Genomic DNA, 25,326 nt, shown 5'->3' on the forward strand with positions numbered 1-25,326 from the left:
GCATTTGAGACAATGGAGGAATTATCACAATTTCTAGCTAAAATGAACCTATCATTCCTTTTACTTTTTAATTTTAAAAATATGAGATGGGGGTCTCACTTTGTTGCCCACGCTGATCTTGAACTCCTGGCCTCAAGCAATCACCCTGCCTCAGCCTCCCAAAGTGTTGGGATTACAGGCAGGAGTCACTGCACCCAGCATCATTCATTTTAAAGCTCTGAAATCTTTTGATTGCATTGGGGTACTGAGATGGATTTTTTTTTTTTTTTTTTGAGACAGGGTCTTGTTCTGTCACTCAGGCTGGAGTACAGTGGCACAATCTTGGCTCACTGCAACCTCTGCCTCCTAGACTCAAGCGATCCTCCCACCTCAGCCTCCTGAGTAGCTGGGACTACAGGTACACACCATGATGCTCAGCTAGTTTTTTAATTTCTTGTAGAGACAAGGTCTCACTATATTGCCCAGGCTGGTGTCAAACTCACGGGCTCAAGTGATCCTCCCGCTTCAGCCTCCCAAAGTGCTGGGATTACAGGTACCAGTCACCACACCCAGCAGATTTTAAAAAATACCTGTTTATCACAAGAAAAACATATTTAAAAAATCATCATTGCAAAGCTCCACACTGTAAGAAGCATGGATCAGTCAAATTATCTTTTAAAAGCCCTCTTTAATTCCAAGGAGATAAAGAAAGTTATTTGTCATTAAACATGTTACATGTATGACTAATATTTATTATAGCTAATATAATAGTTTAGAACAAGGAAATTTAGTAGAGTTGTAACATTTTGGTGCTACATGTATAATTCAGCATAAGCCAAAGCCTTTTTAAAATAACCAATACTATCATTTTATGAAATCTTTACAAGATAAGCACAGTAGTACAATATTTAAGCATCTCAAGTCTCCATTTAAGAGTTGACTATCAAAGAATGACTGTTATAAATAAAGAGCTCTATGATGTTCCACTTATTTAGTCTTAATAAGGTAGGGAAATAAGTGACATACTTTTTAGAAGAATCCATGCAGTGGACAGAAAGTCAGATTAGGTAGTCCCTAGGGATCCATCCAGCTCTGGGAATCTATCATCAGATGGCCTCTAAGGTTTCTTCTAGCTCAGAAAATAGAGGTACTTGGAACATAATTTTTTAAATTTTAAATGGTTATATAGGTTAATAGTATTTTTTGCTTTTCAAAATTCATTGCTGGTGATGTCTATTACTTATTTGATGTCATGTCTTTGGCCAGGAATGCAATCCTAATTAGCATTGTTCCAGGAAAACATTTCATTTTATAGGGAGCATATCCCAGAAACATTAGAAAATACTAGTCCCAATATAAGTAACATTTACCAACTAGACTCTGGGCTACACTTTAAAATATCTGATGTTCAGCCAGGTGTGGTGCTTATGCTTGTAATCCCAGCACTTTGGGAGGCTAAGGCAGGAGGATCTCTTGAACTCAGGAGTTCAAGACCAGCTTGGGCAACATAGTGAGACACTGTCTCTACAAAAAAAAAAAAAAAAAAAATTAATTATAAAAAAAAAAGAAAAAATATATCTGATGTTATTTCTATCTCTCAAGTTCAACAATAAATAATCCAAAGTACATTTTTATTTGCAGCAAAATTTAAGACAGACAGTACTTTCTTTTTTCTTTTTTTTTTTTTTTTTTTGAGACAAGGTCTGGCTCTGTCGCCCAGGTTGGAATGCAGTGGTACAATCTTGGCTCATTGCAACCTCCACCTCCCGGGCTCAAGACATCCTCCCATCTCAGCCTCCCAAGTAGCTAGGACTACAGGCACTTACCACCATACCCAGCTAATTTTTGTATTTTTTGCAGAGACAGTGTTTCACTATGTTGTCCAGGCTGGTCTCGAACTCATAAGCTCCAGCGATCTGCTTCAGCCTCCCAAAGTGCTGCAAATACAGGTATGAGACACTGTGTCCAGCTGATGGTACTCATAAAAGTAGGCATCTAAACTCAATACCTGAAAAACAAATGTGATGTTAAATTACATCTGAAATTTTAAAAATGTATTTAAAAATCCAAATAAAGCTTACAATTTCCTTATTTCCTTTATTTTAATGTGTCAAAAAAACACTTAAAGATATTCTTGTAAATACATATAAGCTGTGTGTCAACATTCAGTACTATGCAAATCATTTTTCAATATGACAAAATGAAAAACTTACACACTTTAGGGTAGCGCTTAATACTTATCTTTGAAATCTATTGCTGATGCTAGGTCTAAAGAGCAATGACTCAACCAGAAAAAATAGTAAAGGCTGCCTTTTCCTTTTTAAAGTGCTTATTAGCTTTATATCCAAAAACAATGGTTTTTACAAATACATAATACTGAAAGGTGCTCAAAAAGTCACCACTTACAGAATTGAACATGTCATTTTCTAACTCTGCACATGTAAACTTGTTTTATCTGCATTAATGAAGATTGCTTCAAATGGCTCTCAATCATATGCTTCAAATCAAGACAGTGCTAAGTTCCAGCAGCATAAACAGTGACAGCAGAACAAACCCCAGCACATTTTCAGTGGATCACAGCAGATCAGAGAAAGTGTAACAGCTTTTGAGTATGTTATACATCCAAGAGCCTTATATTTCACTCCACATAAACAGTAAACATAAAAGAAAAAAGAAACACTTTGTCTCCCTATAGAGCATTTTATAGTATAGGAAGGGATTCAAATTCTCTTTTTAACAAAATTCTTGTTTCTATATAGAGGAGATTTTATATTCTTAATGTTTACAACAAAGCCTATTTCCACCAAAAAAGCAAGAAGAAATTAATAAATGAAATCCTGAACTCTAAAAACCTAAGAAATAAAACTGTGAACAATTCTGAAACGGAGTGTTTTTTCTAAAGGCTAATACAAACATACCAAAATAGAATTTCTGAGCACGAACTATGTGATTTCATTTCAATCGTATCACTTTCATCTGATTGAAATAATTTAGAAACAATAAGGATGATCTTAATCTCACTATTTTCTGCATGAGACTATCGTTCCGATTCATCCCCTCAATACACACCACTGTCCAACAGTCTTACAGTGAGCATCCTCTCAGGTCCCTTTCTGCTCGCTGAACCTTAAGCTGGTTTTACCCCTCCTGTCTCTCTTCTCCAAAATCCTCTATATATCTTAAGAAGAAAATATTCCTTTAAAAAATGACAATTTAAATACAGTGTGATAATGCTACATTTGATTTAAAGTAGTAATAAATTATAAATTGCCAAATAACTTAATGTAATTCACGATGCAAATCCTTGGTATAAAAATAATCCATATTGCCCTGAATATAATAAAGCAATCCAGTGATTTTTAAATTACTTATGAAATAAAGGCAAAAATAAGATGTAAAATACTATTTATAAAAGTCAAGTAAGAAACCAGTTACCATAAATCTTTTTACAAAGATAAATGTAATGTGGCTTACTACTTTTAAAAATTGTCAGGGAGGTTTGCAATCAGTGGTTTCAAAAATGACTCTAGGGAAACTAGAGACTGAATTATATATTATTGTGATGTACAACATATTAACTATATATATAACAATAATACTGCAATGGGGGGTAATTAAGCTACTTCCTAACAAGTACATTTCTTTTTCAAAGTCTTTACTGTAACTGATTAATTTTTAAATGTTAGTTTTCAAAAACTTTTCTACTTGAGATATTTATGTTAGTAAGAAGATACCAGAAGTCTAGAATAGTAATCAAATGCCTATAAAATAAAATAATGATTGTTCTTGCATGTTCTGTTATTGTGACAAATACACATTAAAATAGATAACATTGCTATGCCTGGAAATTAAAAATATCCAAATCTGTTAGAAAGAAGTGGAAAAGGAAAGAAAAATCGAAAATTCTTATTTAAAAATGGATCTGAAGTCCTTGTATTTCTTAAGAGCTTGACTTGTCAAATCACAGTTTATCTTCTTTCTGAAACCAAGTTGTGTCTTCCACCATTCATTCACGTGATATGTCAATTCTCCATTTTGTAGGTCTCAGTTTGAATTTTCCTGAATATTTGCAAAACTGGTACTGGACTTGAGACGTTTGGCTAGATAAATCAAAAGAATTATATTTTAATTTAAATTTAATTATCAAACATGATTATTTACTATTTTTATGTAATCTATAGTATTTATCTATTAATTCTATGTTTGAATCCTAACAGTTCCAGCCTTATAAGAATTAAAACCTAATTAAAACTTTTTTCTACCAACCTTAAAAACACATAACTTTGTTAGAAATTGCACATGACTTTGTTAGAAGCAGTACAAATAAAACAACATCATTTATATCTTCTTGAACATCACAATCTTAAATATGTAATGTACGTGAAATAAATGTACTTAGACAATGAAAGTGCTATAAGGTAGAATAACAAAATTATACATCTAAAAGTCTAAGTTAGAAATCCAAATCTGAATTTCTCTTAAAAGAATTCAGTGAAAACTTCCCCAACCTGATAAAGAGCATGTACAAAGATTCTATAGCAATCATTATGCTTAACTGTGAAAGACTGAATGATTTTTCCCCCTAAGATCTGGAATAAGACGAAAATACCTGGTCTTGCTTGACATCATGCCACTAATTTATCACCAGCGCAACAAGGCAAGAGAAAGAAAAGGAAAGCTATACATATTGGAAAGAAAGAAAGAAAACTGCTTCTATTTTCAGATGAAAAAAAAATCAGTGAAAGAACTCTGTAATGGGAAAAAAAAAAAACAAAAACATTTTAATGACCCTCAAAGAAAAGTGAGTTGTATATTATTATGGAACTCTGTATTGTAAAAAAAAAATTTTAATGATCCTCAAAGAAAAGTGAGTTTTATGTTATATAAACACACAAACACATATGGCTGCTAACAAAATACGTTACCATCAATTCTGATTTGATGCTAATGGGACTGAGTCATTAGGGTTAATAAAACAAATCATGGCTATTTGGCTTGGTAATATGTTTTGTACTTATAGTTAAACATGAATGTTTCTCATGTTCTAGAAATGAAAAACAATCATGCCCATAGTGAGAGTATTTTATACTGAGTAACTAAGAGTCTCCCTACTTCAGAGCTTCACAAAACTTGGGTAGGGGTTATGATTTAGAAGCTCTGCAATGGGACCCTAGTACCTGTACTTTTTTAAAGCTCTGCAGATAATTCTGATGTGTAGCCAAGGATGAGAACCAGTGTTTCTGGTTTCTTTTTTTATTTTATTTTATTTATTTTTTTTGAGACGGACTCTCGGCTTTGTCACCCAGGCTGGAGTGCAATGGCTCGAACTTGGCTCACTGCAAGCTCCGCCTCCTGGGTTCACACCATTCTCCTGCCTCAGCCTCCCAAGTAGCTGGGACTACAGGTGCCCACCACCACGCCCAGCTAATTTTTTTTTTTTTTTTTTTTTTTTGGTATTTTTAGTAGAGACAGGATTTCACCGTGTTAGCCAGGACGGTCTTGATCTCCTGACCTCATGATCCGTCTGCCCCGGCCTCCCAAAGTGCTGGGATTACAGGCGTGAGCCACCGTGCCTGGCCTACCAATGTCTCTGGTTTCTTTTTTTTCTTTTTTTTTTTTGAGACGGAGTCTCACTCTGTCGCCCAGGCTGGAGTGCAGTGGCGCGATCTCAGCTCACTGCAACCTCTGCCTCCTGGGTTCAAGCGATTTTCCTGCCTCAGCCTCCCGAGTAGCTGGGACTACAGGCGTCTGCCACCACGCCCGGCTAATTTTTTTTTTGTATTTTTAGTAGAGATGGGGTTTCACCGTGTTAGCCAGGATGGTCTCAATCTCCTGACCTCATGATCCACCTGCCTCGGCCTCCCAAAGTGCTGGGATTACAGGCGTGAGCCACCGCGCCCGGCCTGTCTCTGGTTTCTATCAACTGTAAGTGGAAAATCACAACATGACTTCCTGGACGAGTGTACTGCTTCAGCTTAAAATAAAGGGAAAACTTAAACTAAAAACATTGGCCTAAACTAAAATCTACTTCTTAAGCCTTCAGTAGATTTGGGAGGCAAACCAAATCAATAGTTTGGGTTTTTGAGAATTACTTTGTTAAAAACTACTAGAAGTGATCTAGCTTCTGACAAAATTCAAATGACTTAATAAACTGGACAAGTTAAATACGAATGAGTACATACACCTACATCTTCCTTGCCTTTATATTCCCTACCTGATAAATCCCCACATCCTTTAAAATTCTAGCCCAGGGATCATCTAACGGTGAATTTCAACACCTCTAATGCAGTTAGCTCCTCCCTTCAGGCAGGGAAGACAAACAAATAAAGTAGAGAATAAATGAAAAAGATGATTTAAATAACCAATTATTTAATTTAAATTAGTTTAAGTGATTAAGTGCCATTAAAGAAAGACGGCACAGAAGAACAAATGGAGAGGTGTATTCTTAGACTGGGGAGTCATAAAAGGTCTCTTTGAGCAAGTAACTTTAGAGCTAAGACCTGGCTTGCAAGAAGCCAGGTAAGTAAAGAGGGAAGGGCCTTGGAAAAGGGGCAGTGTGAATGAGCTTGGTAGTGGAGAAGAACAGAAAGGAACCAGACTGTCCACAGCACCATGAGCAATGAGGAGAATGGATGTGACGAGTTTAGAAAGGTGGCTATGGGCCAGGTCATGTACAGCTTGGAGAGCAGACCCTGGAAAGTAAGTTTGGATTTATTCTAGGTACAATGGGAACACATTAAGCATTCCAAGTTAGTAGAGAAACATGGTGAATTTGTGTTTAAAAAATTATTCTAGCCACTATGTGGCGTATGGATTTTAGTAGATCAAGAAATGGAAGGAGGGATACCAGTTAAGGGGCTCTTGCGTTAGTACAGATAAGAGATGAAGATGGTTTGGGCTAGGGTTTACCAGTGGAGGGAGAGAGACGGACTAAGCAGAACTGGCAGCATACTTGCTAATGAATTAAAAGGGGATGAGAGGGGAATGTGGGAATGGAAAAATAAAAGAAAGAAAATAATTAAGAAATGACTACAAGGTTTGTGGCTTCCATAGCAAATAGTGACACTGGTAGTGACTTTTACTTTGACAGCAAACAAAAAATCCTGATCAGAAGCAGTAAATACTTTCCATAAAGTTAAATAGATTAGCAAGGCAAATAAGATGCTAAACTTTAAAAGTATACCAAGCTCTGAAAAATAGTTTCTCAATGGTGAGGTGCCCACAATATTTTGCTATTATTCTAAGTAAGTGCTTTAAGGACCTGAGCTACTGCATATTTACAGAATGCTGGCAGCCTTCAAAAAACCTTTAATAAATACACCCATGACAAAGACTCTCCCCTCTAGTAGCTAGCATTTTAAGGTGACAAAACATTACAAATTCAGTTCAAACTGATCTACAGGTAACCTTTTTTTAAAAAAATTAGATATATTAGAAGTGAAGTTAGATGAAGTAGTGATCGAAATTTATAGGGAAAAGAATTTTTATATCAGACATTCCTAGACTACAAATAGTATTTGAGAGAAAAGAAAATTAACCTTTTCCCCTAAACAGTTCTCTTTTTTAAAAACTAAAATTATTAAGGCATAAGCCTGTACTTTCATTCTGATAATAAACAAGAAAGCCACGTGACTTAGAAGCCACTCTTCCTTAGCTGGATGGGATCTCTAGTTAGTGCTTCTTTTGCTCTGGCCTATTTCATAGGGAGAAAGAAAGGGAATTAATATGTATTGAGCATATACTATTATATCAAGTAATCTCCTTGGAACTACGATTCCAATTTGTTCACAAACAAACTGTCTGTTATGTCAGCTATAGTTTCTTCCTGCCTGCCACACTTAGGTGGTTCTACCATGACTCCGATGGGTCTAAGAGCTGTCTGTATCTCCCTGCTATTGCCATGTTAGGAGTGCAAAGCCTCTGTTGTTATTCTTCTGTTGTTGCCAACCTTATTCCAGGGGTAATCTAGCTTTCTCAATTTAATCATCTGAAAGACACTGTGTTTTAACTTTTTTTTTTTTTTTTTTTTTTGAGACAGTCTCACTCTGTCTCCCAGGCTGGCGTGCAGTGGTGCGATCTCGGTTCACTGCAACCTCCGCCTCCCAAGTTCAAATGATTCTCCTGCCTCAGCCTCCCGAGTAGCTGGAACTACAGGCATGCGCCATCATGCCCGGCTAATTTTTTGCATTTTTAGTAGAGATGGGGTTTCACCGTGTTAGCCAGGATGGTCTCGATCTCCTGACCTCGTGATCCGCCCACCTCATCCTCCCAAAGTGCTGGGATTACAGGCATGAGCCACTGCACCTAGCCCTGTTTTAACTTTTTATTGTCCACACTTATAAAATTTTCACAGATCTCTTTCACTAGTAAGCATGATTGTAAAACTTAAAGCAGAGAGTCCTTTTAGGCTAATCTACTTTGAGTTCTCAGAGTAGCTATCATTTCTAAAACAGGCCTAAATTTTTAAAATACAGGCTTTTATCTATAAAATAAATAATTGTAAAAAACTTACGCAGAATGAGTTTGCGTTTCTTTTGCTCTGAGTGAAGAAAGCTACTAAGGTAGAAGACAACAGGTAGAAAGAGAATGAACACAGAAACAGCAATTACAGGCACTGTGTCACTGCAAGGGACTGAACAGTTGAAAGTTCGACTCCATAGTTTTCGAGTGATGTTCATCTGGAACAAGAGCAAACAATATCTTTCTATTTTATATTTAACTTGTCTTCAATTTCTTATAATTATTTTGCTAATAACTAAACAGGAATCTAGAATTTAGACTCAATACATACCTCTAAAAACCTACTGATAGTTGAGGACAACTTCTTCTGCCAGGAAAAAAACCTGGTTCAAAATACAGTCATTGTAGAAATTTATATCCATACAGAAATTTCATATTCTAAGTCCATAATACTGACCAAAGTATTCTAGAATGTCAACCATTTGTACATTCAAACAAAGAACTTATATGAAGAGGAATATAGTTAGGCCCTGTTTTATTCATTTACAAAATATTTATTATTTATTGAGAGCCTACTAGAAACCAGGTACTGTTTTAGGCAATAGGAATGGAGCAGTAAAAACAAACAAAAAGCCACACTGTACATTTCATTTTAAGTACTTTTTACCATCTCGAATATTATTGGTTCTTATAGTTCCCTCTGAGCTGCTGTGATAATTCACACATTCTCAATTCTTAAGCTCATTAATTCTGACCTCAAGTTCTCTACTTTGAGCCAATAATTTCTCAGTTTCCTCTAATGCCCCAAAACTCCAGCATCATAGTGCCTAAAAAGGCATGATTGCCATCTAGTGGCACCCTATGTAAAGGCAGGCTATAAAATGGAGAAAAAAAAATTTTTTTTGACCATTCAATTAATACATGTTTATTAAGCCCATTATATGCTAGACTGTCCTAAATACTGTCCTAAATACTGAATAGTGAACAAAAAAAGCCTAAGTCCTTGTCCTCATGTGGCTTATATTTTAGTGAGGAAGACAGACTAAAAATAAATAAATAAATATTTTCAGATGGTAATAGATATAAGAAAATAAAACAATGGAATAGGAAGTGATTGAGGAATGGCTTCTGAAACATGTAGTGAAATCCAGAAACGTCTTTTTTTTTTTTTTTTTTTTTTTGAGACGGAGTCTCGCTCTGTCGCCCAGGCTGGAGTGCACTGGCACGATCTCAGCTCACTGCAACCTCTCCCTCCCGGTTTCAAGCGATTCTCCTGCCTCAGCCTCCTGAATAGCTGGGATAACAGGCGTGTGCCACTACACCCGGCTAATTTTTCTATTTTTAGTAGAGACGGGGTTTCACCATGTTGGTCAGGCTGGTCTTGAACTCCTGACTTCGTGATCTGCCCGCCTCAGCCTCCCAAAGTACTGGGATTACAGGTGTAGTCACCGTGCCCAGCTCAGAAACTTCTTAAATTAGCAACAAGTGCACAAGAAACTGAAATATAAACATATAACAATACCTACACCTCTGCAAATGGCACATATTTTCAAATTTAAAAAGATTAAAATGTACCAAAGCATCAACTCACTTATGAAGTACCTAATTAATTTCTGTTTTATTTTTATCCTAACCATGAGACTACTAAGGAAATATCCATTTTGGTTTAACAGACCAGGATATTCTAAAACTTTACTACTTTATAACTAGTTATTTTTGGTTGAGGACAGAATATGCAGATTCCACCCTATCACCAAAAATAATAATCATACTGAAGGTACATTCAATAACACTCTAAAATATGTATCACATCAGAAGCAAAGTACTTACTGCATCTTCCACATCAATGCATAAATGTGTTCCAGGTTCAGCCTTATTCTCAAGTTCATTCATTTTTTGCATTTCACTGTACAGACTACTCAGAGTTTTGTATGCTTCACGGCAGTTTTTGCATACTTCTGAATAATTTTTTGTCTGTAAAAGACTATGTGCATTCCCCTAAAATGACAAAGGCACATGTAATATATACAATAAACATTATATACAATATCTCTTTAATGTAAGCTATTTACGCTTCTAGAAGACGGGAAACAATATGGTGTGTTAAAGTGCTAAGCTGTGATGTTGAGTAGGTTACTAAATCACTCTGAGTCTCAGTTTTATCATCTATAAAATAAAACGACCTCTACCTGTATTATAAGTCCGAAGGATTAGAGACCCGGTATGTGAAGCAGATGGCAAACTGTTTGGAACTTTCTAGGTGCCTCTAAATTTTCAAAACTGCTGCATTAGCTAATGTTAACTGAGGATAACAATAATTCATATGCCAAATGACTAGTAACTAAATACAAAATTTCCTAAATTATCTCATCATCACAAACCCTCACTTATCTATCCTACTCTCACTGAATAAATAAAATAGGTTCCTGCCTATGCTGACTTGAACACCATAGTTTATCTTACTGAGACAGAACTTTTTAAATGGAAAGGGAAAAGGCACCAAAACTGCATCCCCACTCAACTCTCTTATCACAAGGCTCATAATCCAGGCCTTTCTAGTCAACAAAAAGGGCCAAATACCAAAGAATTGTATAACCTAAAATGAGGATAGTGGAGGTACATAAAATATTATGCTACTAAATCTCAATATTTTGTACTTCTAGACTGACACTTGTCTTTTCAAGAATAAGTTTGCTAAACAGTCAGTTCACACCTTTGCTTTCTATGCCCTTTATTCTTTACTTTGTAGTATGAAGAAAGAATATTAACTGAACATTGGGATGAAAGAGAAAAGAGAAAAATCAAAGTAATTACACTGATGTTGGCCCAACAATGTTACCCTCACCATCTGCTTGACAGAAAAACTAAGTCTCTCCTTAGTCTGCTACAAGAAATAGCCCATTGCTTGTTTTTCACAGAACAATTGTGCACTTAGTTAAAAATTGAGCACAGGGCTGGGCGCGATGGTTCACACCTGTAAACCCAGCACTTTGGGAGGCCGAGGTGGGCGGATCACAAGGTCAGGAGATCGAGACCATCCTGGCTAACACGGTGAAACCCCATCTCTACTAAAAATACAAAACTTAGCCGGGCGTGGTGGCGGGCACCTGTAGTCCCAGCTACTTGGGAGGCTGAGGCAGGAGAATGGCGTGAACCCGGGAGGCGGAGCTTGCAGTGAGCCGAGATCGCGCCACTGCACTCTAGCCCGGGTGACAGAGCGAGACTCCGTCTCAAAAAAAAAAAAAAAAATTGAGCACATAATCCATTTAACTAAAATTGTGCACATAATCTAGATGGGGAGTAATTTAACCTTTTTTTTTTTTTTTTTTTTTGAGACACGGTCTTGCTATTTTGCCCAGGCTAATTTCTAACTCCTGGGCTCAAATGATCCTCCCACCTCAACCTTCCAAAGTGCTGGGATTACAGGCAGGTGCCACCATACCTGGCCACAATTTTTATTCAAATTTAAAATGCACATATCTTTTAATAATGTGAAAGTTGCAGACATTAGGATGAAATCACCTTTTGACAGACCAAGACAAAATAGAGACAAAAAGAGTCCTTGTTTCCAAAGACTTTCTAAAAACCCCACAAGAAATCCTTTCACGCCCTTCATTGCAACTCCTGCTTTCACATGGTTTATCACTGCCATTCTTTAGGACTGCAGTAATTCAGATAAGATGCACTCAAAAGAACACTTGCCCAGTAATGGCATCGCCACCAATGAACTGACAACTTGGCTTTGAGCCTCAGGAACCAATGAACTCAGTTTCCAAGCAGCTTGTGTGAACCTCTCCCTTTTTGCTAATAAAAGCTTCCCTTTACCCTTCCCTCACTGGATGTACTGGTGGTTTGCCAGTGCATTCCAAATTACCATACTTCTTTCTTATTCCCTAATAAACTCATCATATTTGGAGATAATTTTCTCTAGTGTCTTTTTCTTAGGCTGCCAATATAGTAATTCTACTTCTAGAAATCTACCAAACTCATACAAGTACTCTAAGTTAAATGAAAAGAAGACTGTTTATGGTGTACAATTTAAAACTTATTATTTCCAGAATTTTCCATTTAATATTTTTGGACTGCAGTTGGCCACAGGTAACTGAAACTGTGGAAAGTGAAGCCATATATAAAAGGGATGACTTTATAGAAAAATTGCTATTTGAGTGTTACAACACACATCAGTCCACTAAAGGCTCTGAAGTCCTGTAGTAAAGCATTTCCCAACCTTAATGGAATACTAAACCCTTTCTGATAGGACATCTATTAACATGCTGCAGAACAAATTCTGAGAAATGTTCACCTAATTTTTTTTATTTTATTTTTTTGAGACAGAGTCTCTCTGCAACGCCCAGGCTGGAGTGCAATGGCACGATCTCAACTCACTGCAACCTCTACTTCACTACAGGCGTGCACCACCAAGCCTGGCTAAGTTTTGTATTTTTAGTAGAGACAGGGTTTCACCATATTGGCCAGGTTGATCTCGAACTCCTGACCTCAAGTGACCTGCCTGCCTTGGCCTCCCAAGGTGCTGGGATTATAGGCATGAGATACTGCACCTGGCCCAATTTTTATTATTCTCAAGGAAATTCATAATTCAGTGTTACCACATTTATTACAGAAGAAATCATACATGCTTATACCCTAAGCATGTGTACATCTACTATGGGGATTACTTACTTGTTATGTAAGTTTCAAAACTACATTTTAACCAGAGTTCCAACCTCGTCCTTCACCACGACCGGGCAAGTTCCAATACCAAAATTCAAGAGTCAGAGATAGAGATGGCAATAATCTACAAGGTTAAGATTCTTAAAGCTACCTTTTATTATCATAATTCAATACTCAAAGTTATCTTACTAAACAGTGCTTTTTAAGGTAGGTAAAACATACTTAAGCAAATTTCAGGCAAAGAATAAACTTCCTATAGACAGAATCATACTACACTGCAAAATACCTACGTAAGTCAGATTGAAAACCATTGTGTTTTAATTAAACAATCACACACCTCAATCAATGTTTTCACAATCATTATCTCACCAGATTCTCATTACAAAATACTTTAAGATAGGCAGGATAGATATTATCTCCATTTTACAATGAGAGAACTGAGGTTTTCATGATTTGTAAGTAGAAGAACTTACTTAAGAGCAGAAATCCAGGTCCACTAACTCCTTTACATCATGAATTTAGATAAATATCAATAATTAGTGCTCTAAAAACTTGGAACTGCACATTATTCCTTTGTACAAGGCAGCATTTTAATTTTAAATATTATATATAAAATACCTGAAGGTTATGTTCAAAGCAGGTCAGGGTGTGATTAAATAGATTAAGGAAATATACTGTGCTGTTTGATAATTCTTCACTGTTGTTTGTTAAACAATCTGTCAAAAAAATTCAAAAAGTATATTAATATAACTCAAGGAACAATTCTATGTTGTCATTTATATCTTAAGCTATCAGCTTCGTTTCACACTACAGTAATTCTTTATTCAAACAAGCATGAATTTTCCAAATATATGAAGCTTACTCCTTTTATTTTCCAAAAGTTAAAAAAGTCATAACCATTTTCATGAACATGTTAAAATAATCACATACTCTCTTTTCATAAAAATATACCAAATAAAATTCAAATGGACTTTTGATGGCACAAGGTCATAATCACGGAATATCAGCTATCAAATGCTGCCTTAACAGTGCTATTTAGGCATAAGACTGTTTACCCTGCATTAATTTTACCGAAACTCATATGCCTTATCATTTTTTGTGTCAAATTTCATAGTTCTCTGCATCTTCCAACTTCACTAATGAGTCATTTATTGTACCTAATGGGGTAACTTTTAAAATTCGCTCTTTCTAATCCATCACGAGTTGGGAGCCCAGAGAAACAAACTGGTGAGAATTTTGCCTAAAATACTGACGTGGGGGCTTCAAGTAAAGTCTAGAAACAAAATTGTTTTACATTTTTAAAAATCCTACATAAATGGTATTTCTCTGCAACTGGCTATTCTTGCTTAGAGTTAGCTCAAGTTCACTCATCCCTTTTATTTTCTATGTATGTGTATATCACAATTTATGTATCCATTTTCCCTTCTTCAGGGAATAATCTATTCTTCTTTTTTTTTTTAAGAAACGGGGTCTTGCTCGGTTGCCCAGGCTGGAGTGCAGTGGCACAATTTGCCAGCTCATTGCAGACTTGAACTCCTGGGCGCAAGTGATGTTCCCACCTCAACCTTCCAAAGTGCTGGGATTACTTAAAGGCATGAGCCACTGCGCTCAGCCAGGGAACCTAGTCTTTATCCTCAGGTAAACCTTTGTCTTTACCTCTCCTTGTGTTCTCAGCCTGCTATCTCCAATCGAGGTTCAACTGCCTGGTTCCAGATCTTGGAACTTGTGGTCAGTCGTTTCCATCTGACTCTCCTAGAATCCTTGCCCTCTTTATCTTCCACATATTCACAGCCATTTTCATCCCTGGACAGTCCCCATCTACTTTCTGTACTCTCAGTCTGGTTACAGAATACTACTACAGAAATTCTAAAATGATAATGAAGGGACTCAATTCAAATTCATGTGTTCTGATCTCGGGGCAACAAAATGATCCTTGTAGATGCCCTCCTAATTGCTCTGCAAGGGATGTTCCACATATTTTCTCATCTCTAGTCCCAGCCCTACTCTTGTTCCCCTTAATTTCAACAGATGGCTTTGTATTATGCCCACCTTATTTAGAAATTCAGGGCCATCAGATAGGATCTCTCTCAACTGGAAGTGGAAAGACAACATGCAAAGCTATTGCAATTACCCAGGAGAAAGGCAGCAAGGCAAGTAGAATTTGTGGAGAAAAGAGAGACGGACTAGGTAGACACTAGGATATGACACACTAAGGGACATCCATGTACTCTGACAGACAACAATTACTACAACGAAAGTTAACACTTACTAAATACTTGCTATGTTCTAAGAACTATGCTTACACTGCACTTTAAACACATTTGCCCATTTAATTCTTGCAGTGATTCCATGAGGGAAAAATTATCATTATCTCCATTTTATAAATAAGGAACAGAGATAGGTTTAGATAAATTAAGGAAGTTGCCCAAGGACATAAAACTGGTAAGTAAAAAGCTAGACTCTGTACTCAGTCTGATTCTTGAGCCTGCACTCTCAAACACTGCAAAATAAACATATTTATATCTACATTCTAAACCATTAAAAGTTCAAGACTCGGAATCTACAAATACATGCCACTGCCTACTCCCTCCACTACCCATAGATATCTTACACCATACAGGGATTCAGGCAGTCCCCACCAACTGATCAGAGTTAGCAACTGAGATGAAACCTAAACCTGGTAGACAGGGGCAGACAGCACAGTAAAGCTCCTTTGTGCAAATCAGAAAAAGATATTCCCTCTGGGTAGATAAATTACAAAAGGTCATTCCTGCCTCCAGAAGCTAAGCTGGAATTCAGCCCCATTCACCTCCTTGTACAGCCCCCTTGTGCAGGGCTCCTTCTGCACCCATTGTACACAGGATCCTCTTGGTAAACCTATTTCAGGAGTTGTCCCCTCTCTGAACTCACATACTCTACATTCTCTGAAGCTTTATCTTCTCCAGAACATGAATCTCATTCTAACTTCTCACCCTTATTTAAAAAATCTGAGGGATCACTACAAATTAGGAAACTAAGCCACAGAAATAGGTGATATGCTGATGATCATACCACAAGTTAATAAGCCATTGATATAAAAATAGGCCAGCATGGTGGTTCACACCTGTAATCCCAGCATTTTGGGAGGCAGGTGGATTGCCTGAGTCCAGGAGTTCGAGACCAGCCTGGGCAACATGGTGAAAACCTGTCTCTACAAATAATACAAAATTAGCCAGGCATGGTGGCGTGCATCTGTGGTCCCAGCGGCTTGGGAGGCTGAGAGGGGAGAATTGCTTCAGCTTGGGGAGGTCGAGGCTGCAATAAGCTGTGATTGCGCCACTGCATTCCAACCTGCATGAAAGAGTAAGAACTTGTCTCATTGCCCCTCTTAATGCTAGTTTAATATCATCATGAAGTAGCCCGCAATCCTTTTAGGGATGAGGCAGAGTTGATATAAATAAAAACAAACAATTACATAGTTTTTGTACATGTTTACAAAAACAATTATATAGTTTTTGTAGTTGATGTGTTGCAGGGAAGTTAAGGGAACACAATTTCATTCACAACAGTTGTACATCTGTGTTATAATGAGCTATGTCGTGACAACTGACATAACAATATAGGGATAAAAGGGGTCCACATACTGCCAGCAAAAGTAGTATAAAGTGCATTATCATGAGAGAGCAATAGCAAATTTCTTCTATGCAAGATACCTAATTAAAACAAATAATTTCTTTTGCAAAAGCAATTTATAAAGAAAGCTTCTCTGAAGAACAAAAGAACTTAATTTCTTTTATTAATAATTACATTAATGCATTACCATCAAAACTTTTTCAATGATCATTAGATGGTGGTAACATAAAGCATAAAGCAGTTCATTTATATAATGGGGTTAAAAAGTCTTCATTATTAAAAAGCCATGACTTTCTGAATCGAAATAACAGATCTCTAGTAAATTCCTTTTTTATCTTTTTGCAGGAATTGGGAGCTTAAGATTATAAACAGTGAGAAGCTGTATGTTTTAGAAATTGGTGAGTTAAAGAATATTAATAATAATAAAGCTTCCTTTAAGCACTAAGTGAAGTGGTCATTATGAATTTCCTTCATCTTAGATAATCAATGGAGCCTCATCAAGGGCAGATTAGCAGAGTGGCTTTCTCAGAGAAGGCTCAGGCATCAGCTTAAGAGTCAATCTTTTTTTTTTTTTTTTTTTTTCTGAGACAGAAGAATCTCACTGTCACCCAGGCTGGAGTGCACTGGCATAATCTCAGCTCATTGCAGCCTCCAATGTGCCTGGCCTCAAGAGGCATTCTTAAAGGTATTAAGGATTCAAGTTAAGACCTCACAGAGAAACCTACTAAATTATCATAACAGGAATTATGCATCTTTAAATAAAGCATTTGGCATCTCTTAGGAATTTTACAAAGATCTTTGCTGTTTTTCAAAACTAGTTTTATAGAAAATAGCAGAGATAATCACCAATTTAGGGTAAGCTTCAGAAAATAAAAATAAACTACGGCAACTTTGTACCTAAATGACCTAATTAAGTTTAACAAATATGAAAACTAAGATACTTTAAATTATAAGATACAAATAATATGATTATAACGCTTAGTACATTTCCCTCTGGATAAAATATGGGAAAGAAAGGTTTTGGGCCGGGCGCAGTGGCTCACGCCTGTAATCCCAGCACTTTGGGAGGCCGAGGCAGGTGGATCACGAGGTCAGGAGATCGAGACCACGGTGAAACCCCGTCTCAACTAAAAATACAAAAAAAGTTAGCCGGGCGTGGTGGTGGGCACCTGTAGTCCCAGCTACTCAGGAGGCTGAGGCAGGAGAATGGCGTGAACCTGGGAGGCGGAGCTTGCAGTGAACTGAGATCGCACCACTGCACTCCGGCCTGGGTGACAGAGCAAGACTCCGTCTTAAAAAAAAAAAAATGTTTTGGTTAATTGACCTTCTGGTTAATCATTAAGTACTATTGTTGTTGCTTTTTAAAGCATCAAGACATACATTGTATGTGTTAACTGAAAGTTAGTTTTCCTCTGATGAATCAGAATATACATCGGGATTACACAGTGGTTCAACAGCATCATTATGCTCATTAATTATCACCCAGATCACCTGTATCACTGAAGATATAGGTTGCTCATAAAGAAAGAGTTTTCAGTGTGTAAGAACAAATATCTGAACTGATAATTTTGAGGCCTATCTCATTATAATAATGCTTCATACTGGATACTGCTTACCAAAGAACCAAAACACTAAAGCAGTCATGAACTCATCAAATCTGGTCATTCTGCTGATTATTTAACTGCTGTATGCACAAGATAAGCAAGAAGGGTCTCAATAACAAGGCTATCCCTATGTCAACAATACACACCTTTAAAATTCTGAGAAACCTTTAATATACTCTCTTTACTTTTTGGCAGTCATTCTCCATCAGAAACAGCTAGTTTCCATGTTATTTGTAGTATGAGTAGAAAAAGTTGCACTCTTAACACTTCTTTTGACCTTCCATCAATTTCCAATAACCAGATTCCTACCAAGACTAATACCATTTGAAGACACAGGAATTCTGAGAAGAAAAGGGATGGGAGTAGTACATGGATGGCATTCTCTCCTCTCTTGGATTCCTAGCCTTCCTTTCATGAATAATAACTGCAGAGACTAGATGCCACCCCTATTTCAAGCTAAATTAAGCAGAACAGAAAGATAGTTTTGGGCAGTATACTCATTTTAATAATATTCTTTCTAGTAATATTTTACCTTTCATGTTTTTACATTTTTTTCTGTTATTTAATAATATTATTTTACAAAAATTCTAATAGCCCCTGTTATGGTCTGAATGTGTCTCCCAAAATTGATATGTTGAAACTTGATGGCCAATACAATAATATCAAGAAGTGAGGCCTTTAGGAAGTGACTAGGTCATGAGGGTTCCTTCTTCACAAATGGGATTTACTCTTCCACTTTTCTGCCACATAAATGGGATGATGAATGATGATAATTTTTAATGCGTAATTCTGGAAAATGAAATAGCTAATCTCTCTAACCACATCTAACATACAAATACTCATCACAGATTTGAACATTCTGTTAAATTTTTTAAATTTCTATATATTTTTGAATACATATTAAATGTATATGGCATAAAATCCAAAGGGTACAAATGCAAATACGGTGAAAACTAAATCTTCCTTTCTTTCCTGCCCACACAGCTATCCAACTGCCCTCCCTCAAAATACATATGTATTTTTAGAACACAAAATATCATACTTCTCTGTACCTCGCTTCTTTTACCTGAGACCATATGTCTGGGCCAAATTAATTTTAATTGGGAAGAGTCTTTTAAGTAAGTCATATCTAATTGCTTAGCATTTTATTTGGTCCTCAGAAGTTCAATGTAAGGAATATTTTCAAGATAGGATGCCTCACAGAAGAACAAAATACCCTAAGAATTTATTCTAAAGCATTTTATACCTGCCATACTGAGTATGCGGTAAAACGTTTTCTTTTCAACTAACTGGGGAAAAAAGGTCTGTACTTCGAATTAGTGAAATCTTTTTTACAAAACACCTTTTAAGCCAGGCACAGTGGCTCACACTTTCAATCTCAGCACTTTGGGAGGCCAAGGAAGGAGGATTGCTTGAGTCTAGGAATCCGAGACCAGCCTGGGCAACATGACAAAACAGCATCTCTATTAAAAACACAAAAATTGGCCAGGCATCCTCGTGCTGCCTGTAGCCCCAGCTGCTTGGGAGGCTGAGGCTGGAGGATCACTTGAGCCCTCAAGAGGTGGAGGCTACAGTGAGCTGAGATTGTGCCACTGTATTCCAGCCTGGGCAACAGAGCAAGACTCTGTCTCAAAAATCAAACAAACAAAAACACTTTTTAAAGAAAAAAAATGCCCTGCCTCTTCTAAGTATATAAATTTAGTCACATCTGTCAAAAGAAGTGAACCCCTGGCTCATCTGAAGGTAGTGAGTTATCTCAATTAATTGTTCACAGTTGGTTACAGATCGAACTCCTTGTTCTACTCTTTCCCCTCTTCTCACTGCTGCACTTGACTAGTCTTAAAATAAAATTAAAAAATAAAGAAGTGAATCCCAGTATATATCCACTTATTCCAATTAACTGATTTTAAATTATTTATAATTAACATATTTTTCTATGTTAATGGATTTTTCTAAAAAGCTTAAGAATACTTAAAAACAGGTCTACATATGTTAAGCAAATGCTCTTCAATCATATTTATACTAGAAAATTTTACTCTGAAAAGTAAAGGATATGCTAAAAAAAAAAGTTGTGTTAGTCAAGCTTCGGAAACAAAATTTTAAAAGTCAGTATTCAATATACCATAGTATACTGACAAGGGAAAAAAACTGGCTGGGGCTTCTTATCCCATTTTAGTTTTTCTTCATATGAACTAAACAAAAAGACAAGTCTTGATAAAAGCTAAGCTACTTAATGACTTATAGGTACACAAATTTTTAATCTATCCTTCTATTTCCAAGGCCCCTCCCTACTTCACATTTTCTTTCCTTCTTGCCTAAACTATAGCAGTAAACTTCTTACTGGTCTCTCTCTCTTCCAATGAGGTTCCATGAAAAAAGGATCTTTGTAGTTTTTTTTTTTTTTTAAAGGCTTAGAAAGTGCTAGGTTAAATGATGTTTAAAAAACCTTTTTCTTTAAGACAGGGTCTTGCTCTGTTGCCTAGGCTGGAGTGCAGTGGCACAGTCATAGCTCAATGTGGCCTCCAACTCCTGGGCTCAAGCACTCCTCTTACCTCAGCCTCCCAGGCAGCTGGGACTATAGGCATTTGCCACCATGCCCAGCTAATTTTTTTCTTTTCTTTTCTTTTCTTTGTAGAGACTCTGTCTCTACAAAAAATGTTGCCCAGGCTGGTCTTGAACTCCTGGGCTCAAGCAATACTACCATCTTGTCCTCCTGAAGTGCTGGGATTACAGGTGTGAGCCTCCCCACTGAGCCAAAAAAAAACCCTTTTAAAAAAATCTCAATGCATTTAATATTCCAGGTGCATTGTAAATCCCAAAGATACTACAACATACAGTAGTCAACTCTTATCTTCAAGGGATATATTCCAAGACTCCCAATGGATGCTTGAAACCAAGTATAGTACCAAACCTTCTATATACTACGTTTTTTTCTATTTCTATGTTTTTTTTTCTAGTATAGTACCAAACCTTCTATATACTATGGTTTTTTCTGTTTTCTATATCATACCCATGATAAAGTTTAATTTATAAATTAGGCACAGTAAGAGATTAAAAACAAAAACTAATAATTATGTTACTATTATTAAAGAATTAGTAAGTAAACTAAGGGTTACCTGAACACAAGTAGTGCCATACCATGACAGTTGACCTTATAACCAAGATGCTCCTGAGTGCCTCACAGGAGGGGCAGCATCTACAGTATAGATATGCTGCACAAATGGATGATTCGCAGCCCAAGTAGATGAAGCAGGATGGCATGGGATTTCATTATGCTACTCAGAATCATACACAATTTAAGATTATAAATGGTTTACTTCTGAAATTTTCCATTTAATATTTTTGGACTGCAGTTGACTGCAGTAACTGAAACTACAGCAAGTGAAACCATGGCTAATAGAATACTATATAATCATAATAGGAGAATACTATATAAGCTTTTCTTTTCTTTTTTTTTTTTTTTTTGTTATTGTTGTTGTAGATAGGGTCTCGTTCTGTTGCCCAGAGCGGGGAGCAGTGGCACAACCATGATTCATTGCAGCCTTGACCTCCCATCTCAGCCTCCCAAGTTGCTGGGACTACAGGCACATGCCACCAAGTCCAGTTAATTTTTTATTTTTTGTTGAGACAAAGTTTTGCCATGTTGCCTAAGCTGGTCTTGAACTCCTAGGCTCAAACAATTCTCCCACCTTGGCCTCCCAAAGTGCTGGGATTACAGGTGTGAGCCACCATGCCTGGTCTATAACCCCTTCTTAATAATATGCTGATATTCTAAGCAGTATAAAAAATGTTGGCCCAAATAGTATACTACTCTGTCAGTCAAGGTCCTACTTTCCCTTGCTAACTTTACCTCCCACTATGCTTCCTGGAACATCTGTTGCCCTTTTATACCTCTGTGACTACCTGCAATGTCCTTCTCTCATTTCTACTTTTTTTTTTTTTTAAGACAGGGTCTTGCTCTGTTGCCCAGGCTGGAATGCAGTGGCACAATCATATCTCACTGCATCCTTGAATTCCTGGGCTGAAGGGATCCTCCTGCCTTAGCCTCCCAAGTGGCTAGGACTACAGTCACACACCACCATGTCCATCTAATTTAAAAAATATATATTTTTGTAGAGATGGGGGTCTCACTATGTTCCCCAGGCTGGTCTCAAACTCCTGGGCTCAAGCAATTCTGCCTTGGCTTCCCAAAGTGCTGGGATTACAGGCGTGAGCCGCCTCACTGGCGTCATCTCTACTTATTGAAATCATGTCCAATAGTACAGGCCTAGGTTCAAAAGGTAGCTCCTCCAGGAAGTCATTTCAAATTCTCCCCAGTAAGATTTATTTTCTTCTTCCTCCAAGGACTCTATAACTTTATTAAAGCATTTATGTGTCTGTCCTAGGCTGTATTTGTAAATATATCTTTCTCACTCATTAAATTATAAGACTTGAAAAATAAGAACTGCCTAGCACATAGTTGGTATTCAAAACATCATCTGAATTGGAAGTGATTTTAATTTTTCCAAAGAATATCTAAAAATAGATCTTATTTTATTACACAATTACACACAAACCTGCAAAGAAGGTAGAACAGATGTCATCATCCCACCCCGCCGCCTGCCACACACCACTTGACAGATTACTGTAAACATCATAATTATTATTATACTAAACAGTTAACATTTCTTGAACACTAAATACGTGTCAGGCATTGAGCTAAGTGCTTTACACAATTTATTTCATTTCATTCTCAAGGCGACTATATAAGATAGGTTCTATCATTACCACCAATTTACAGATGAAGAAACTGAACTTCCAAGAGGCAAAGTTTTTCTCCCATATCTGACAGCTAGTAGGTTAGGGCTAGTAAGTGGCAGAGCTTAGAATCAAACCCAAGTCTATCTAAATCCAAAGCTCATAGTAACTGCTACACTTTTCTGCCTTTCGCTATTTGCTCAGTTGCCATTAATAAACCATGGTGTCCATGACAGTTTATTTAAACTTAGCAATAAAAAGTATTATCCAGCTTCAAAGATCCCAAAATTCACTAAAATAAAATCTGACATCTGTACTACTGAACCATAACTGCAACATGAAAATGAAAGAATTACTTACTTGCACAATTTGCCTCCTGCCATGTGGTATTAAAAAATTCTGAGAGAATCACAACTATTTGCATTCTATCTGCCATTAAGAGACTTCTGGCACAACTCTGACTCTCTGAAGTATTCTGTAACAAAAAGAAGACAGAAAAATACAATCTGAGTATTTTCAGACTTTGCAAACAACTTGAGGCAAAAACCTTACAAAAATAACATTTATTATAAGCTTTTTAACATTTTGTTTGATATGATCAGATGTTAACATTAATAAAAACAATGATAATAAAGTAATTAGCAGCTAACATTTATTGGTACTAGGTTCACTTGCAAAGGAAGAAAATCTTTGTTATCTAAATAGTTTGTACCCAGATGGAAAAATATGCTTTTGTAGATCATTTTAATAATGAAAGAAACTCATGCTATGCAAATAATAAATCCAAGTTCCCAAATCATTTGATCCTTATCTATTTCCTTTCCTTCGTGCCCCAAGCAAGGAACTAAGTCCTGCTGACCCTTAATTCTTTCAAAGTTATTTAACTCCTACTATTTACTAGGCACTATAAAAATCCTGAAGTTCTGAGGATATAAAAAGTATAAAAGAATGCCATCAATTCTGGGGCTTTGAGAACCTCTCGCAGTTACACAGACAAGGAGTTATACAGTGTGATGAATAATAAAAGAGTGGTAACTCCTGGGAAACAAATGGTCAGTCATGTGGGAGAAGAAATGGAAAAAAGGAGAAAAGAGGGAGAAAAGGAAGAATTTCTGCTTTAAAATATAAAATCCAAGCGATTCTCATGCCACAGCCTCCCAGGTAGCTGGGACTACAGGCACATGCCACCACACCCAGCTAATTTTTGTGTTTGTAGTAGAGACGGGGTTTCACTATGTTGGCCAGGCTGATCTTGAACTCCTGAACTCAAATGATCCATCCACCTCGGCCTCCCAAAGTGCTGGGATTATAGGCATGAGCCACTGCACCTGGCCATGAACAGAACATTTTAAAACTCTTTTTTAGAATTACCTTCTGAGCAATACCAGCCATAGAAGAAAATTTTCTATTATCACTTTTTTTTTTTTTTTTTTGAGATGGAGTCTCACTCTATCGCCCAGGCTGGAGTGCAGTGACGCAATCTCAGCTCACTGCAACATCTGCCTCCTGGGTTCAAGCGATCCTCCTGCCTTAGCCGCCCGAGCAGCTGGGACTACAGGCACATGCCACCATGCTTGGCTAATTTTTATTTTTAGTACAGACGGGGTTTCACCATGTTGGCCTGACTGGTCTCGAACTCCTGACCTCAGACGATCCACCTGCCTCGGCCTCCCAAAGTGCTGGGATTACAGGCATGAGCCACCATGCCTGGCCTATTATCACTTCTTAAGTAGAAGTAATAATATTGTATTAATACAAGCCTGGGTCACTAGCTAGTGACCTTGGGCAGCTGACCCAACCTCGCTAAGGTTCAGTTTCAAAATCAGGGGTCCTACAGTTACTGTATTAAATGAAATAGCATACATTAATCACTCAGCACACTGTCTGGCACACAGTGACTGATATATGCTATTTCACCTAGCTACCATGCTGCCAACCTGAAGTGCTCTAAGTAGGTTTAGTTGGATAAGTGTCATTAGTTGGTTAAGTTGAATCTTCATAAGTGGGTGACTGGCTATTTTAAAAATCAATACAGTAGAGCCTGTATGAGTGTTCAATGTGTGGAACAGTTCGGTTCAGGAAGATATCAATGTAGTTTTGAGAAATTAGGAAAGAGTTCATGAAGGAAGCAGGATATGAACTAAGCCCTATATTGAGGAAGAGAAGAGGATTCGAAAATAGAAGAATTAAATGATCATGGGGTGAAAGTGATAATGATTATGTGGTATTCGGAGAGTATTCAGTAGTCTATGAAAGTAGGGCT

At 37.0% G+C, this 25,326-nt stretch overlaps 1 protein-coding gene across 3 annotated transcripts in view; it reads right to left on the bottom strand.

Moving 5' to 3' along the window:
• Positions 648 to 25,326, bottom strand: part of OSTM1 (osteoclastogenesis associated transmembrane protein 1) — a 33,333-nt gene continuing 8,654 nt past the window's right edge. Inside the window, exons 2-7 of one of the 3 annotated variants that reach the window (XM_047418679.1) lie at positions 23,424 to 23,538; positions 13,729 to 13,826; positions 10,270 to 10,437; positions 8,771 to 8,806; positions 8,492 to 8,657; positions 1,806 to 4,079 (exon numbers count right to left, since the gene is read on the bottom strand). In XM_047418679.1, coding sequence (XP_047274635.1) covers positions 4,024 to 4,079; positions 8,492 to 8,657; positions 8,771 to 8,806; positions 10,270 to 10,437; positions 13,729 to 13,826; positions 23,424 to 23,538 — 639 coding nt within the window. In that variant the 3' untranslated portion in view covers positions 1,806 to 4,023. Of the gene's footprint in view, positions 4,080 to 8,491; positions 8,658 to 8,770; positions 8,823 to 10,269; positions 10,438 to 13,728; positions 13,827 to 23,423; positions 23,539 to 25,326 lie in introns of those variants that run through there. The other 2 variants (NM_014028.4, XM_047418680.1) reach the window with 2 other exon arrangements.

This window comes from Homo sapiens, chromosome 6, assembly GCF_000001405.40.
Source record: "Homo sapiens chromosome 6, GRCh38.p14 Primary Assembly".
Lineage (NCBI taxonomy): Eukaryota > Metazoa > Chordata > Mammalia > Primates > Hominidae > Homo > Homo sapiens.